Source organism: Homo sapiens, chromosome 1, assembly GCF_000001405.40.
Source record: "Homo sapiens chromosome 1, GRCh38.p14 Primary Assembly".
NCBI lineage: Eukaryota > Metazoa > Chordata > Mammalia > Primates > Hominidae > Homo > Homo sapiens.
This window is the reverse complement of record NC_000001.11, coordinates 32,353,237-32,368,780: the sequence shown is the minus strand read 5'-3', so window position 1 is coordinate 32,368,780 and position 15,544 is coordinate 32,353,237. Positions and strand designations below refer to the sequence as shown.

At 52.8% G+C, this 15,544-nt stretch overlaps 3 protein-coding genes and 1 long non-coding RNA gene across 11 annotated transcripts in view, besides 3 other annotated features; 2 read left to right on the top strand and 2 right to left on the bottom strand.

Moving 5' to 3' along the window:
* The window catches only part of BSDC1 (BSD domain containing 1), a 29,809-nt gene extending 25,661 nt beyond the window's left edge, over window positions 1-4,148 (top strand). For 5 of the 7 annotated variants that reach the window (NR_125352.2, NM_001143890.3, NM_001143889.3 and 2 more), the window contains 2 exons: window positions 231-334; window positions 2,127-4,148. Coding sequence is in view for 6 of the 7 variants with exons in the window: in NM_001143890.3 (NP_001137362.1) it covers window positions 231-334; window positions 2,127-2,159 (137 nt within the window). In the remaining variant the exon portion in view is untranslated. Of the gene's footprint in view, window positions 1-230 lie in introns of all 7 variants that reach the window. The other 2 variants (NM_001300958.2, XM_047423812.1) reach the window with 2 other exon arrangements.
* A 320-nt stretch (window positions 4,149-4,468) lies between these two features.
* On the bottom strand, window positions 4,469-6,242 carry TSSK3 (testis specific serine kinase 3). The gene is made up of 2 exons (NM_052841.4): window positions 5,935-6,242; window positions 4,469-5,186 (listed from the first exon to the last, which is right to left on the bottom strand). Exons 1-2 carry the CDS (start codon window positions 6,077-6,079, stop codon window positions 4,525-4,527), a joined length of 807 nt encoding a protein of 268 aa, NP_443073.1. The 5' UTR covers window positions 6,080-6,242; the 3' UTR covers window positions 4,469-4,524.
* Window positions 6,296-7,511, top strand: FAM229A (family with sequence similarity 229 member A). The gene is made up of 3 exons (NM_001167676.2): window positions 6,296-6,823; window positions 6,905-7,051; window positions 7,246-7,511. The coding sequence occupies exons 1-3, from the start codon at window positions 6,690-6,692 to the stop codon at window positions 7,346-7,348; spliced, it is 384 nt and encodes a 127-aa protein (NP_001161148.1). The 5' UTR covers window positions 6,296-6,689; the 3' UTR covers window positions 7,349-7,511.
* Window positions 6,365-6,564: a silencer, noted in NCBI's record as "silent region_598". NCBI's record gives its function as "represses an Ori minimal core promoter by ATAC-STARR-seq in GM12878 lymphoblastoid cells {active_cell/tissue: GM12878}" and the evidence as "EXISTENCE:reporter gene assay evidence [ECO:0000049][PMID:35858748]".
* Window positions 6,715-7,014: a silencer, noted in NCBI's record as "silent region_597". NCBI's record gives its function as "represses an Ori minimal core promoter by ATAC-STARR-seq in GM12878 lymphoblastoid cells {active_cell/tissue: GM12878}" and the evidence as "EXISTENCE:reporter gene assay evidence [ECO:0000049][PMID:35858748]".
* The window catches only part of LOC124903933 (uncharacterized), a 9,727-nt gene continuing 1,635 nt past the window's right edge, over window positions 7,453-15,544 (bottom strand). For both annotated transcript variants that reach the window (XR_007065636.1, XR_007065642.1), the window contains exon 3: window positions 7,453-15,325. This is a non-coding gene — a long non-coding RNA (uncharacterized LOC124903933). The remainder of the gene's footprint in view (window positions 15,326-15,544) is intronic.
* Window positions 15,132-15,544: part of an enhancer, noted in NCBI's record as "H3K4me1 hESC enhancer chr1:32818736-32819250 (GRCh37/hg19 assembly coordinates)", that runs on past the window's edge. NCBI's record gives its function as "activates a minimal SCP1, AML or CMV promoter by ChIP-STARR-seq in naive H9 embryonic stem cells {active_cell/tissue: H9 hESC(naive)}" and the evidence as "EXISTENCE:reporter gene assay evidence [ECO:0000049][PMID:30033119]".

Here is a 15,544-nt window from a genome sequence, read left to right as displayed (position 1 = left end):
GTTGCAGTGGGCCGGGATCACACCACTGCACTCCAGCCTGGGTGACAGCAAGACTCCATCTAAGAAAACAAAAAAAAAAAGTACGATTGGTGCGCCAGAGTGAACACAAAATGTAAAGACTTGTGTATTTGTGAGACCCTTTTGAAGCATGCTATCTCCCCAGCTACACCCTCTTCAGGTGCCCCTTCCCTGCCTCCTCCTGCTTTTCACACTGTGGCTCGTGGTTCCAGGCTCAAGCACGGACATCAGTGAGGACTGGGAGAAAGACTTTGACTTGGACATGACTGAAGAGGAGGTGCAGATGGCACTTTCCAAAGTGGATGCCTCCGGGGAGGTGAGTGGGCCTGGTGGGTCAGAGGGAAGCGAGCCTAATGGTCCTGGGTGTGAGAGCTCTCCCCAGCCAGCCCAGCTGTCCCCTCAGGAGGGTCCCTGCTCCTGTCTGAGGTGACAGGTGGTGGGAAAGGAGCTGGAGCTTCCTGCTCAGACCCACAACATTGGTCATCAGCAGGCTGCACTTTTCCTCAGTTCCAGGGTGGATAGAGGGTCAAGTTCTTGACCTTAGCTCTGTATCAAAATTGCCTGAGAAACTGCTTAAGAAAACAGATGTCATGCTGAGCGCGGTGGCTCACACCTGTAATCCCAACACTTTGGGAGGCCAAGGTGGGAGGATTGCTTGAGGCGAGGAGTTCAAGACCAGCCTGGCCAATATAGTGAGACCCCATTTCTGTTTTTGAAAAAAAAAAAAAAAGGAAAAAAGAAAACAGACATCAAACCCTGCCTGACCTTCTGAGTTGTGGTCCTCAGGTATGAGGCCTGAGTATATACTTGGCCTTGGAGACAAAAGACCAGTGTGATCAAGGGCAAGGGCAAGTTACTTAACCTGAGCCCCTGGTTCCTCATCTAAAACATGGAATTGATCATTATAAGACCTGGCTATAAGCTGTAATGAGGTGATCCATGTAGACACCTTAGGGCTATTGCCTGAGACATGGTGACCAGCACTCAGGAGACATTAGTGATAAACCCCACAAAACCCATTCCAGTTATTAAGCTCAAGGAGGCCTTAGTACTGTTATTCTTCACTACCTCTCAGAATCAAAAGTGGCTCATTTAGATTGAGAGGCTGGAACAGTCCAAAGCTCTCCCAGCTAATAAGTGACAGGACTGAGGCTGCAACCCAGACATCTGATTCATGTCAGCGTTAGTTCCACTGTCACATAAGAACCACATGAGTCCTTCCATCATGTAACTTATGAGCCTGTTAGAAAGAGGTGGACAGATTAGAGAGACATGTGAAGGGCCTCCTTTTTCATGATGGGAAACTGAAGCCTTGGGGGAGTATTTTACCTACTCAGGAGTATTTTGCACTTGTGACTACCTCACTATACCCAGGACAGAGAAAGCCCATAGTGCCCTGTCAGGCCACAGGGGCTTGCTGGCTTTTTGTGTCTTTGCAGCCCCCTTTAAAACCTGACGTGCAGTACACGTGAGCATTCTAGAACCTGCTATACCAGGGCTTAGCCGACAGCAGGCCAAGAGTAGGAACAAAGCAAGAAAACGTTCCGTGGGGAGACTTGAGCTGGGAATTAGGGTGTTGGTGCCCCTAGTGAAGACCTAGTGGGCATCTGTAGGCCACTGCCACCTCTGCTTTTGGCCACAGTGCCACTCAGGCAGTGGCCTCCATTCACCCAAAGACTAAGTAACTTGCCCTTGATTACACTGGTCTTTTGTGTCCAGGGCCAAGTATCTGCTCAGGCCTCCTGAGTTCTCTGCTTCTCAGAGCCATGGCATTATCTGCTCAGCAGGAGGCAAGTTCTCCTTAAAGGACTGAGGCTGACTTGGTTCCTGTAGGCAGCCATCACCTTGTGGTGTCTGGTGTTGGTTGGGGGAAGTGTTTCCTTTAGGTCTGAGGTAATCAGAGCATCAGGCCCACCCCTCAGGCAGAGGGCAGCTCTGCCCCTCAGACACATTCCTTAAGACTAGGGGTTCACTCTCAGTGGGACCTCAGAGTATGGCCTGGGGTAGGGGATGGGAGGTGGCTCTGCTCAGCAAGTGGAGGTTAGGTCTGGGCCTGACTCAGGAGTAACTATGTGTTTGTGATTTCCATTACCCCCTCCCATTTGCAGCTGGAAGATGTAGAGTGGGAGGACTGGGAGTGAGGGAGCCAGAGGGAGCAGCTCCCCCACCCATGGCATCTCTCGCCTCCCTCGCTCGTCTCAGCCCAGCCCTGGAAGACTGAGAATGTTCCCCCAAATCTCCTCTGCCAACCAGAGCTCTGGGCACAGATTCTGGTGGCTCCCTGCTGGCCCTCTTGGGCCTCTGCTCACACCTGGGAAGGGGCTCTCTAAATCCCGGCCAGAAACTCTGACTTGTGCCAACAATAGGATGACCCAAGGGAGAGGAAACCTATCCTCCTCACCAGAAGAGCCTGTGTTTTTCTGCTGAACACCCACTGTTCCTGAGGACTCCTGCTGGGAAGTCCCAAGGGATAGTTCTAGCCCTTCTGCCTGTGTAGACAGAAGCTAAACCACCAGTCTCTCTCGGAGGAAGCTGAGACAACATACTCTGTCCATACATAAGCAGGCAGGGAGGGCCATGCCACCTACCCTTGGCTAAACAGGGACAGTGAACACATTTTGGTTCCTATCCCAGTGGGTAAGAGGCACTTATCTCTGGGAAATTTGCCTCTCTTGGGACTCTCCCCCTCCCAGGCATTTTCCATTCCTGGAAAGGCTCCTTTGGGGTTCAGAATCCAGAGACCAAACCCTGACCCACCTCCTTCCTTTCCTCCAGCCCACGCTGGTCTGTCCCCATGCCTTCCCAGGGCTTCTTCATGTCGGATGCACCCAAGTCCTTAGCCCAGCTGTGCCACCTGCAGGAGTTCGCTCTTGCGTTTCTTCCCCTCCCCAAGAAGGGAGGGGGCTACTTCAGGCCCTTCTGTGTGTTGCCTGGCAGGATACCTTGTCCAACCAGCTACCCACCTCAACTCCCCTGTAGTTTAGGACACAAAACAGCTACCAGCGGTACAGAGCGGTGATCAAAGCCGAGTACTTACAACTCTGGTAAGCCTAGCTTCTCCGCCTCAGCCCTTCTGCTTCTGGAAGGGCTATCCTGGGGGTGAACTTGAAACTCTCATCAGGCTTCTGCAAAAGCTCTTCTTCCTGAAGACAGACCCAGCCTTTGTGCTCTCACCCTCCACTCTGGTAAAGCTGCACCTCTGGGGGAATGAGGGGCTGCAGGAATCTCTGGAGAGCCTGGTGCTTCACGATGCTGCTCTGGTGATTCTTGTACCTAATCTGGTGTGCTCACCAATGAGTGAAAGGGATCGTGGGTCAGGGACACCGAGAGAGTGAGGTCACTTCCACTTCAAACCTTCAGTGAGGGGGTGGGATGGAGAGAATGCTGAATCTTTTTTTTGACGGGATGGGGTTTTTCTCTTTGTAATTATTTCTTTAGTTTAATTAACCTTTTGGTTGTTTGTGCAATATTATATATTTTAAATTATAATGCATCTCCCCAGAGTATTTTGTAGCTGGGAAAAGAAAAAAGGAAAAAAAGAAAAAAAGATTCTAACAGCTGTTAGTTTTATAATTAAAAAAGAAAGAAAAAAGAACTTTGTCCTGAACCTTTTACAGACTTGCCGTTAACAGCATTAAAGTGATTCACCCGAAGCTGAAAGGTGTCTGGGGGTCTGTTTTTGTCCCCTTGGCAGCTGCACTGGGCCAGGGCAGGACTGGCTTCCCACTTGGAGCCAGAGACAGGGTAGGGGGATAGCCTAGGTCCAGAGGACGTACCTTGTCCTCATCCCAGATTCAGCTTTGCCTTTGGGATGAGAAAGGGTCAGGGCTCGCAACAGGCCTCTCACTGGGACAAGGAGTCGGGAGGCCATCTCTGCACTCCCAGTGCCTCTGCTTTCCTTTGGAAAGGAAGTTGCAACAAGAATGGCTTCAGTTGCTCTTGGTCATTTTTATCCTCTCTTCCCCCTGTTTGTATATGATTCTTGGGTCTATTTTAATTAACTTTAGTATGAAAATCACTTGTCATGCCAGGCGCAGTGGCTCATGCCTGTAATCCCAACATTTTGGGAGGCCAAGGTGGGTGGATCACTAAGGTCAGGAGTTCCAGACCAGCCTGGCCAACATGGTGAAACCCCATCTCTACTAAAAATACAGAAATAGCCAGGCGTGGTGGGAGGTGCCTGTAATCCCAGCTACTGGGGAGGCTGAGGCAGGAGAATCGCTTGAACCTGGGAAGCAGAGTTGCAGTGAACTGGAATCGTGCCACTGCATTCCAGCCTGGGCGACAGAGCAAGACTCTTAAAAAAAAAAAAGGAAGTCTGAATGAGGCCCTTTGATTCCATGAAGATCTCTAAAAGGAAAGAGTAGTAGTAAGGCTGGGGTAGATGTAGGTAAGTTTTAGGATAAGTAAACTTAAAGCGTAAAATATATATCACCATTTTAGAAGCGGGTTTTTGGGTTTGCTTTCTCCCCCTACTTTATTGGAGAGCACTTGCCATTGCTTTTATCAAGTGCTTGCTAGCCATGGATGCCAACTAACTTCTTCAATTGAAGGCCGGAGGATCATATCGGGTTCCAGGAGCCTCTTGAGCAGGTCCTGGCAATCGGCCGAGATGCTCAGATGAGTGGGGAAGGACACCCCCTTCTGCTGCTGCCACAGCATCTTGGGGATGTCTGTGTCGTCAAAAGGTAGGCTGGCACAGAGCATGACATACAGGACCACACCCATGCTCCAGACATCACCTTTTTTGCTATCGTGGGGAATGCCCTGCAGCACCTCGGGGGCAGCATAGGCTGTACTGCCGCAGAAGGTCTGGCTCAGCTCCCGGTGTGACTTGGGCAACACCTTGGCAAAGCCAAAGTCAGTCAGCTTCAGGTTGAAGCCCTGCAACAAGGCGTTCTCACATTTGAGGTCCCGGTGGGCCACACCACAGCCATGGCAGTAGCGGATGGCCTCAACCATCTGACGGAAGAGGGCCTTGGCCCGGCTTTCAGGCAGTGGCCCCCCATTCAGCACGCAGTCAAAGACATCCCCTCCCTCAGCGAGCTCCATCACCAGGCAGATTTTCCCGTCGGCAGACTCCAGCATCTCATACACCTGGATGATGTTCTTGTGGTCCAGGGTACGGACGATTTGGAGCTCCCGAGGGAGGAATCTCTGGATAAACTCTGAGGAAGTAAGGGGAGGAGAGATGGGCTGGCAGATCAGAAAGGCCCACCTCCTCACACCTGTCTCCTGCCTTCCAACTTCTGCCCACCTTGTCTGGGTCTTATTTCTTGGCTTTCTTAATGGTCTTAAGTGTGTCTAGCTGCTTGGACATTGCAAAGAATGTTCACTTCTATTATTTTTGTCGTTAGTATATCATTCAAAAGAAGCACTCCCCACCAGCCTTGTGGACTGTTGTGAGCAGTCTGTGAGACTGGATATCAAGGTGCTTTAGGGACTTTTAGACAAAGCCACAGAATCACAAATTATAAGGCCTGATTTGTCCACAGGGTGGTGAGCCAGCTCCTCCCGCCACTGTCCCCTGACCCCACAATTCTTTCCATGAGCCCTGTCTTCCTTTTTCCCATCTCCACGGGCCTTGGCACCAGCCCCTGTTCTCTACCAGCCCTGGTTGTGGCCTCTGCCAGTCTCTGTTCCCCTGCCGGAAAGGAAAGCCTGGCTCAGGTTTTGCCTCTGAGGATCCTTCACCTCATGCCACTTTCATCTTGCATTCTGGGGGGGTGTAATGTTCCTGGACTCCCAGAACCCCTCTGTTCCCCACTGACCCACTCCAGAGCTGCCATCGGGCTTGCTTGGTTCCAGGCCAGCGGGAGCAGGGAATGATCGAATGATCGTTCTAACAAACAGGAGGAAGCACCCACCCACCTCAGCCAGTCCTCCCTCCTTCCCTCCAAAGGGGCCCCGGCTCACCTTCTGGCCCTCCCATCTTGTCTATAACTTTAATTGCCACTTTTCTTTGGTGTTTTTTGGAAAATGCTTCTTTGACTTTTGAGTAGGTCCCTTCCCCAATGGTCTTGCCCAGCTGGTACCCATTGGAGAGCAGAAAGTCCTCCATGCTGTCTAGCGCCGCCTTCCTATCACCCTCTCAGCTCATGCTGCCTCTGAGAGGCAGCTCTACTCCACCATCGCCCTTGGCCTGCTCCTTTTCTCCCCAAGGACTTCATCCGCAGCCGCCCCCAGCGTTAGAACATTCTCTGTCTGGACACAGCGGCGGGTGGTGGGGAGGGACAGGGCCAGACATTTTTAAACTCCGGTGCAATTGTGATGTAGATGCTGTGTGACCCTTGGCCAAAATGGGCAGTGCCCCTACCTGCCCTCACTACCACCACCAAACTCAGCCCGGATTAAGTCACCGCCGAGCCCGCCCCCGTGCCAGGCATTGAGTTGTAGTCCCGCCTGGGAGGGCGCTCCGCCGCGTCTGTGTGGACCGGGAATGCGCGGCTCCTCGGCGTGGACGCCGCCTCGCGGCGGGTTGCCCTGGCCTGCTGCGCCCCCCTCGGGTGTCCGGGGTCTGCGCGACCCCGTCTCCAGGCGCCATGGCCAGAGGCCTCCAGTCCCCGATTCTGGCCCGCGCTGAGTGCCAGGGGCGGCAGGGGGCACCGTTGGGGGTTCTCCAGTGGGAGGAACGTGCTCTGTGAGGTCAGCGCGCCGCGGCCCGGGTCACAATGCTGCCCTCCTCGACGCCCGGGCCCGGGCACGCCACAGAGACCTGCCCGGCTCCGCCTGGACCGGAGCGTTCTCCCGCGGCCAGGGCTCCGGCAGCTGCTTCTAGCCTGGGACCGGTCTCAACCGCCGGGAGGTGAGCGACGGCCCAGGGGGCGGGCGCGAGGCGGCGGCGCCCGGCGACCCGGGAGAGGCCTGACCGCCACTCCCCGCGCAGAGCGCCCCGGGGCTTGGACATGAGCGCCCAGGAGCCCCCGCAGGGTCGGAGATTCCCCATTGAGGCCGGAGACTCCCGTGGCCTTGCCGCCGCCCCCGAGTCCCAGGACAGCCCGGAGGCGGTAGCGACGGAGCACAACCCGGTCAGGTAAGGCCCGCGCCCCACCCCCGCCTCCGCCCGTCCCGCGGCCCCGCCCTCCGTCCCACTTGGCGCCCCCAGCAGTCAGGACCCCGCATCCACGTCCGGACCCCCGGGGACCCCAGGTGCACTCCCTGGGTGCGCCCCACAGGATGGGCCAAGCCCCTGCCTCAGCGGCCCCTGTCGCGCGTCAATTTCCCCAGGCCGCTTCGTCGCTGCCCTGGATGCCACTGCCTGACGCTGCTGCACGTGCCCATCGACGTCTACCTCGCCATGGGCGGGAGCCCCCGGGCCCGCGCCACGTGAGTGCGCCTGCTCCCTGCGGCTCCGCGGGAGCTGGGCGGGAACGAGGCCCCCAGCGGGCCACCACGCTGAGGTCGCATGCGCCGAGCACGAGACAATGATGCACATTTTAAAATAAAAGAATGATGCACATTTTAATAAAGCACAGCACAAACTGTTCTTTCCACTCCGGGCTGGCAGTGTATGTCTATCCGTCGGGCCCACCAGCTGCTCTGCCCAGTCCAATAACACTTTCCCTTCCGCAGCCTCCTCGTTTGGACCCAGCCTTAGGGGCCCGCCCTTCCGCCTTTCAACCTACGCCACTTCACTCCTCTCGTATCTTGCTGGTCCTGACCCCTCCTGGGCAGCCTTTCCCTTGGGCCCTGCCCTGGTCCATCTCTCTAACCCTCTGGTGATTCTCCGGTGAAATTCACATCACTGTGCTGGACCCTGGCAACCCACAGAAGCGGGGAACAGGAGGAAGAGGTGGACCGACAAGTAACATAGAATACAGCCATAGGCCACCCACACCAGGCTATCTATCTATCTTATCTATCTATCATCTATCTATCTATCTATCTATCTATCTATCTATCTATCTATCTATCTATGAGATGGAGTCTCGCTCTGTTTCCCAGGCTGGACTGCAGTGGCATGATCTCTGTTCACTGCAACCTCTGCCTCCCAGGTTCAAACAATTCTCCTGCCTCAGCCTCCCAAGTAGCTGGGACTACAGGCACCCGACCAGACCCATTTTAATCCTCTCGAGCGAGAAGTTCTGCGACAAAGTTCTGCGACTTGCTCTTTGTGGCCCTAGGTGCCTGGGACCTTCCTTATTGGAAGGGTTTGGAGCTGCCCCAGTCCATCCTGAGCCTTGGTTTCTCCCAGGACTGAAGTGATCATAAAAAGATTGGGGAAGAGGCCATTTGAAAAATGGTGGCTTGCCAGGCGCGGTGGCTCACGCCTGTAATCCCAGCACTTTGGGAGACCGAGGCAGGTGGATCACAAGGTCAGGAGTTCGAGACCAGCCTGGCCAACATGGCGAAACCCCGTCTCTACTAAAAATACAAAAATTAGCTGGGTGTGGTGGTACGCACCTGTAATCCCAGCCACTCGGGAGGCTGAGGCAGGAGAATTCCTTGAACCCAGGAGGCAGAGGTTGCAGTGAGCTGAGATCATGCCACTGCACTCCAGCCTGGGCAACAGAGCAAGACTCTATCCAAAAAAAAAAAAAAAAGAGAGAGAAAGAAAGACGTTGGTTTAACTTCCTATTTTACAGATGAGTGAACTGAGCCTTTGAGACTTACCCAAGGTCCCCCAATGAGAGTCTAGCACACTCCTCAGCATCCTGAGACCACATGACCTAAGATCTGCCCTCGGAGGGGCCCATGACAGGAAGCCTGCCTGGAGGTGCTAGTATTTAAGCTAAACAACTATTTCCTACTTTCCAATTTGGCTTTAATGAGCCCGTATATTCTACTTTCCAATTTTGTTACGGGGGGAGTGTAACCTAAAGGTCAGGTTCAGTCTCCTGTCCCCTGAGATCTAAGGACAATTGATTCAACACCCTCCTCTAATCCTCATAGGGTAGAGAAGTCCAAGCTTTCCCTAGAGCACCTTAAAATTCCACGTCACCCAAAAGGGATACCCTTCTCAGTTTCCACATAAAATGCTCTCCCAGGCAGTCCCCATGTAGGAGGCTTACTAAAAGGGCCTATTTCCTCACTGGTTTAAAAAAAAAAGGCATCAGCTGGTCTCTTTGGACTCTGCCAGCCCCCAAATAGTGAATCCTTCTCATTCTTCCTTTTTTTCCATCTCTCCCACTTCCTTCTCCTCTCTTCTCAACCCTCCTTTCCTTAAAAAAAAAAAAAAAATAGGCCAGGCATGGTGGCTCAGGCCTGTAATCCCAGCACTTTGGGAGGCTGAGGCAGGAGGATCACTTGAGCCCAGGAGTTCAAGACCAGCATGGAAAACAGCAAGATCCCATCTCTAAAAACAAAACAAAACAAAAAAACCAGGTATGGTGGCGTGTGCTTGTAGTCCTAGCTACCGGGGAGCCTGAGGCAGGAAGATTGCTTGAGCCCAGGAGTTTGACGCTGCAATGAGCCAAGGTCACACCACTGCACTCCAGCCTGAGCAACAGAGTGAGATCCTGTCTCTAAAAAAAATTAGGCTGGGCATGATGGATCACGCCTATAATCCCAGCACTTTGGGAGGCCGAGGCAGGTGGATCATGAGGTCAGGAGATGAAGACCATCCTGGCTAACATGGTGAAACCCCGTCTCTACTAAAAATACAAAAAAATTAGCCAGGCGTGGTGGCGGGAACCTGTAGTCCCAGCTACTCGGGAGGCTGAGGCAGGAGAATGGTGTGAACCCAGGAGGTGGAGCTTGCAGTGAGCTGAGATCGCACCACTGCACTCCAGCCTAGGTGACAGAGTGAGACTCCATCTCAAAAAAAAAAAAAAAATTTAGAAACCAGTTACTGCCACATCCCACGTACCTGATTTGTGAGGGATACAAAGATTCTAGACGCAGTCCTTGCCAATGGGGCTAGTTAGCTCTAGAATGTCCATGAGCAAGAGAAAGGGCATTCCCTTTGGGGAGGAAGCATTGTGGGTAAAGGCCTGGAGGCAGGAAAGTGAAGGACAATTTCAAGAAACTCAGTTCATCAATTTTCATCAACACCTTCCTGGGCCATGCCTGGTACTGAGAACCCAGCCCTGAATCTGACATCATTTTCCCTTTCAGAGCATAGAATGCAGGGGATCCAGGAATGGGTTAACAGAAGAGAAGCTGGATCAAGGAGACCTTTGCGTACCAGGTGAAGGAGTTTGAACTTTGTTCTGCAGGCAGGCAGAGCACGACAGGCTCCTACCTGGGTCACTTCATTCTCCTATTTCTCTTCTCTTCCATCCTGTTCTGTTTCTTCTTACTCCTTTCCACTGGAAGAGCCACTGGCCGAAACTAGTGCTGAGTTCAAGTCCTAACTCTGCTGTTTCTCTAACTGTGCAGTCTTGAGCTAGTTACTTAGCCCCTCTGAGCCTCCATCTTCAAATCTGTTAAGTAGGGCTAATTGACACCTGGTAGAAAGTTTCAGTAAGGACCTGTATGTATAGCACCATGCAGGAATCACTGCCAAAGCTACCACTTGATAAGCAAGAGAGACTGCTACGGCTGCTGCTCCTACCTTTGGCTTCAAGGGACAGCAGACAGCCAGACAGCCAAAGACACTGTCCCCAGGGGTTGGGTGATGTCCAGCCCTGAAGAGGGCTGAGGAAACCCTCTTGCCTCTCTCTGCCAACTTCCTAGCAGTTCTGTTCAGGAGCCTAAGAACTTGGTGGGGGGATTGGGGGCAGGGGAATTTCCAAGGGAATCCCCAGGTGGAAAAGACAGAGCTGCCTCCCTCACCCTAAAGGTTACATCTGTCCCCGGACCCCAGTGCAGGACCCAATGCAGATCCCAGCCTTACTCTCTGGGCCTGAGGAATGGGGAGGGGCCAGGCAAAGGGGGATGCTCCAATCACTGCCTTCCCTGACTTATTTCCCAGACACCTTATTAGCCAGCCCCTCCCTAAGGGACCCCCTTTTAGAAGGAGGGGGCGAAGTACAGATGGACCCCCCAGGTTACCATGGAGACAGCAGGGAAAGGGTTGCTGTATCACCATGGCAATAATCGACGTCAGCGCTACCCTTTCCCATCGCTTGATATGAGAGGGGGACAGCCACCCCAACCACAAGCAAATCCCCCACAAATCCTCCTCCTCTTACTGAGCCAATCAACCAGGGGGGTCGCCAGACTTAATATAGCACAGGAGTTAAAAGCACAGACTCTGATGTCAGTCAAACCTTGGTTCAAATCCTCACTCTGCCTCATCCTAGCCGTGTGAATTTGAGCAAGTTCTTTAACCCTTTGAAGTCTCATAGGTGCCATGGGAATAAATAAGCTATGTGCCTCCAAGGATTACATGAGGATGACATGGGATCATGCAGGTAACAGGCGTGGGGTGTGCCTCACCCGAACTGTACATTGGCATTAGGGACGGTCAAGAATCCTACTCACCACCTTGAAACTTGTCAGGGGATTGTGGACCTCCAGATACAGACTCACACCCCCTAGAGGGCCCCCAGGACTTACAAGGACTGGGCCTCAGGGTTTGAGCATCTCAGGATTTGGGGATCTCAGAGTGGTCCCGGAAACAGTGGAATTTCCAGGCTCTGAGGAAACCCCAGATGCCACTTTCCCTGAAACCTCATCACATCCGGACTCGGACCCAACTTTCCCTTCTCCTCCCCTCTGCCTTGTCCTAGGCCTTATTAGCAGCCTTCTACCTCTTAGGGGCCTCCATCTGCTCTTCTAAGAAAAAGGATGGGTGCCCAGGCATGGTGGCTTATGCCTGTAATCCCAGCACTTTGGGAGGCTGAGGTGGGCAGACCTCTTGAGGCCAGGAGTTTGAGACCAGCCTGGGCAACATGGCAAAACCCTGTCTCTACAAAAAAAAAAAAAAAAAAATAGCCAGGCGTGGTGGCACATGCCTGTAGTCCCAACTATTTGGGAGGCTGAGGCGGGAGGATCACCTGAGTTCAGGAGGTTGAGGTTGCCATGAGCCAAGATCATGCCACTGCACTCCTGGCTGGGCACCAGAGTGAGACTCTGTCTCAAAAATAAAAAAGAAAGGGAAAGAGAGAGAGAAAGAAAGAAAAGAGAGATAAAGGAAGAAAGGAAGGAAGAAAGAAAAGAAAGAAAGAAAGAAGAAAAGGAAGGAAGCAAGGAAAGAGAAAGAAAAAGGAAAGTAAGGAAGGGAGGAAGGGAGGAAAGGAGGGAAGGAAAAAGGAAAGGGAAAGGAAGGAAAGAAAAGAAAAAGGATGAGGCCAGTGCAGTGGCTCACACCTGTAATCCCAGCACTCTGGGAGGCTGAGGCAGGTGTATCTTTTGAACACAGGAGTTCAAGACCAGCCTGGACAACATGGCGTCTCTACAAATTAAAAATATTAGCCGGGTGTGGTAGCGTGTGCTTGTAGTCCCAGCTACTCAGGAGGCTGAGCTAGGAGGCTCGCTTGAGCCTGGAAGGTCAAGGCTACAGTGAGCTGAGATCATGTCACTGCATGAATAAAAGAAAAAAAGATGGCCAGGCGCAGTGGTTCACACCTGTAATCCCAGCACTTTCGGAGGCCGAGGCAGGCAGATCACAAGGTCAGGAGTTCAAGACCAGCCTGACCAAAATGGTGAAACCCCGTCTCTACTAAAAATACAAAAATGAGCCAGACATGGTGGCGTGTGCTTGTAATCCCAGCTACTCAGGAGGCTGAGGCAGGAGAATCACTTGTACCCGGGAGGTGGACGTTGCAGTGAGCTGAGATCGTGCCACTGCACTCCAGCCTGGGTGACAAAGCGAGACTCTGTCTCAAAAAAAAAAAAAAAAGAAAAAAGACAAAGGATGGATGAGGGACTGCAGGTACGGTCACCACAGGGATATGGGTGGTCCAGTTCCCACTGCCCTCTCCCACCCACCATTAGGGTAGGAAGACCAGAATCATTCTCATTCCCTCCCTCTTCCCTGACTCCAGTACAGGCAACCACAGTTCAGTCTGCCCCAAATCCACTGCCACTGCCCTGAGTCAGGCCCCCCTTACTACTCACCCAATTATCCCGGCAGCTCCCTGCCAGGTTTCCCTCCTTCCTTCCTCAATTGATTCCTCCAATCCAGAATTATTTTATAAAGACCACAAACGCAGCTGGGTCAGTCTCCTATTTAAACCTCATCAATGGCTTCTTCACATCACTTGTGCAGCCACACTGGACACCTTTCAAATCATCACAAAACATTCCTCCTACCTTAAGTACACCATCCCTTCTGCCTGGAATAGCTTCCCCTGACCCCACAGATCACCCTCAAAGACAGTCCCCCTGACCACCATCCTTAGGGCCTGCATGGCCACTGTGTTGCCTTCAGTGTCCGTATCTATTCCTGATCTCAGCTTAATGCCTGTCTTCCCCATTACATGACAGGGGCCAGGGGCTGGACTGTCCTCCTCCTGACATCCCCAGGATCTAGAACAGGAGGGCTCAGGAATCTGCAGATTAGACTAGTTTGTGAATGACTGCTTGCGATGTCCACAGAGGAGAGGCCTTGGTGCTGTGAGGAGAAGAAATAGCAGAGCCACCTGCCTGGCTGGGAGTTTGGAAATGGCTCTCATGAGGAACGGACGCTTGAACTGAAGGATGAGAAGCTGTTACCCAGGCAAAGACTGAGGAATGCCCCAATACTGGGGTTGGCAGGGGCATGGGTTGGGTGAACTTGATGCTAAAGACATGGTGCAGGGAGACATATTCCTATGTTGGAAAGACACACCCAGCTGCCCTATAGGAACAGACCACACAGGGGATTGAGAGTGGCAGCAGGGAGACAGGTCAGGAGGCTGCTGCAGGAGGTGAAAGGTGATGGGCCCTTGGCTCAAGTGTTGGTGGCGGAAGTGGAGAGAAGCTATGGGATTTTAGGTACGTCCTGAAAGGACAGGTTTTCATAGCTGCTTGAGGATGAAAAGGGTGAGAGAAGCTGGGCACAGTGGCTCACACCTGTAATCCCAGCACTGGGAGGCCGAGGAGGGTGGATCATGAGGTCAGGAGTTCAAGACCAGCATGGCCAACATGGTGAAACCCCATCTCTACTAAAAATATAAAAATTAGCCGGGCATGGTGGTGCACGCCTATAGTCCCAGTTACTCAGGAAGCTGAGGCAGGAGAATTGCTTGAACCCGGGAGGCAGAGGTTGCAGAGAGCCGAGATTGCACCACTGCACTCCAGCCTGGGCGACACAGCAAGACTCTGTCTCAAAAAAAAAAAAAAAAAAAGGCGAGAGAGGGCAGAATCTAGAACCAAGTCCAGATTTCAGGTTCAGACAACTGGGAGATGGCTAAGCTGGGGAACATGGAGGGAGGGCAGGTATGCAGCCTGTTTCCTGAGAGGTGGGACATCCAGCAGGAGGGGTCCAGGAGGCAGGTGTGGGGTTGGGGAGAGGGCTGGACTGAGAAAGAGACATGAGTTTCTGACATGGGCTGGATGCTGAAGGCATGGGAGCTGATGAGACTCCCTGGGGACAGACTGTAGCAGGCCTGGGAACAACCATGATTAGGCAGTGAGCAAAGGATAAGAAATTTGCCATGTGGCAGCAACCCATAAGATAGCAAGAAAATCAAAAGTGCACAGTGTCCAGAAATACAAGGGCCTAAAAGTATCTGAAAGAGGAAGGAGTATTTGTGTCAAAGCTGGCCACTGCTAAGGGGTCAAGGCAGATAAAGACTTTTAAGCATCCCTTGGATTTAGCAACAAGGAGGTCAGCAGTGACCTTGGCAGGCTGTTCCTGTGGAATGGTGGGGGAGGAAGCCAGATTGCAGGGGCTGAGTGAGGAAGTAGAAACAACGTGTGTATACAACTCCTTCAAGAATGCTGGCTGCAGAGGGGAGCTGGCGAAGGATGTGGAGTTGAGGGAGGGCTTTCTTTTTTTCAAAGATATGAAAGACTAGAGCCTGTTTGTCTGCCTATGGAAGAAGCCATCAGGGAGGGTGAGGCTGAAGATAAGGAAAAATGGTTGAAGACAGGGAAAAAAGGAAGGGATTAAGGGAAGGAGAGTCCCCAAGGAGGAAAAACATTAAATTCCCAAATATGGCTGCAGAACTTGGGGGGCAAGTCAGGGCCTGTACTGGGCTCTGGGGGCTCAGAACAGCTGCCCACTCTCTCCGGCAGCCAGTGTGAGTCACTGGGGGGGAAATAGCCCAAACTGGCAGTGTGGGAAGGGGAGCTGGGCCAGCATGTTCCTTAGGATCCCCAGGGGTCAGGGAGGAGCAGGGCCCAGCCTGGGCTCTGAGCCCTGAACCCCATGCTGAGCTGGACAAGGACACACAGAAGGGTTGTCTCACCTTTTGTAGGAGCAGGCAGAGTTGTAGAAAGCCTAGGTTTTACTTTTGGCTTTTCACTGCCCGATTGTGAACCTCAGTTTCCTCTTCTGCAAAAAGAGAGGGTTAAACAGATCAAGGGCTTTTCAGTTTTGGGGAAGGAAAGTGTCAGGACTTTGCTGACAGTTTAGGGAGTCCTGGAGCCCCAGCAGCCTCCTGAACTAGAGTTGGCTGAGGAGCTGCCATTTAAGCATGCATAGAATTAGGGAAAAGGCTCCCATGAAAGCCATGGGGAGCAGGTCAGGGTGTGCCTAAGCCTGGGAGAAGAG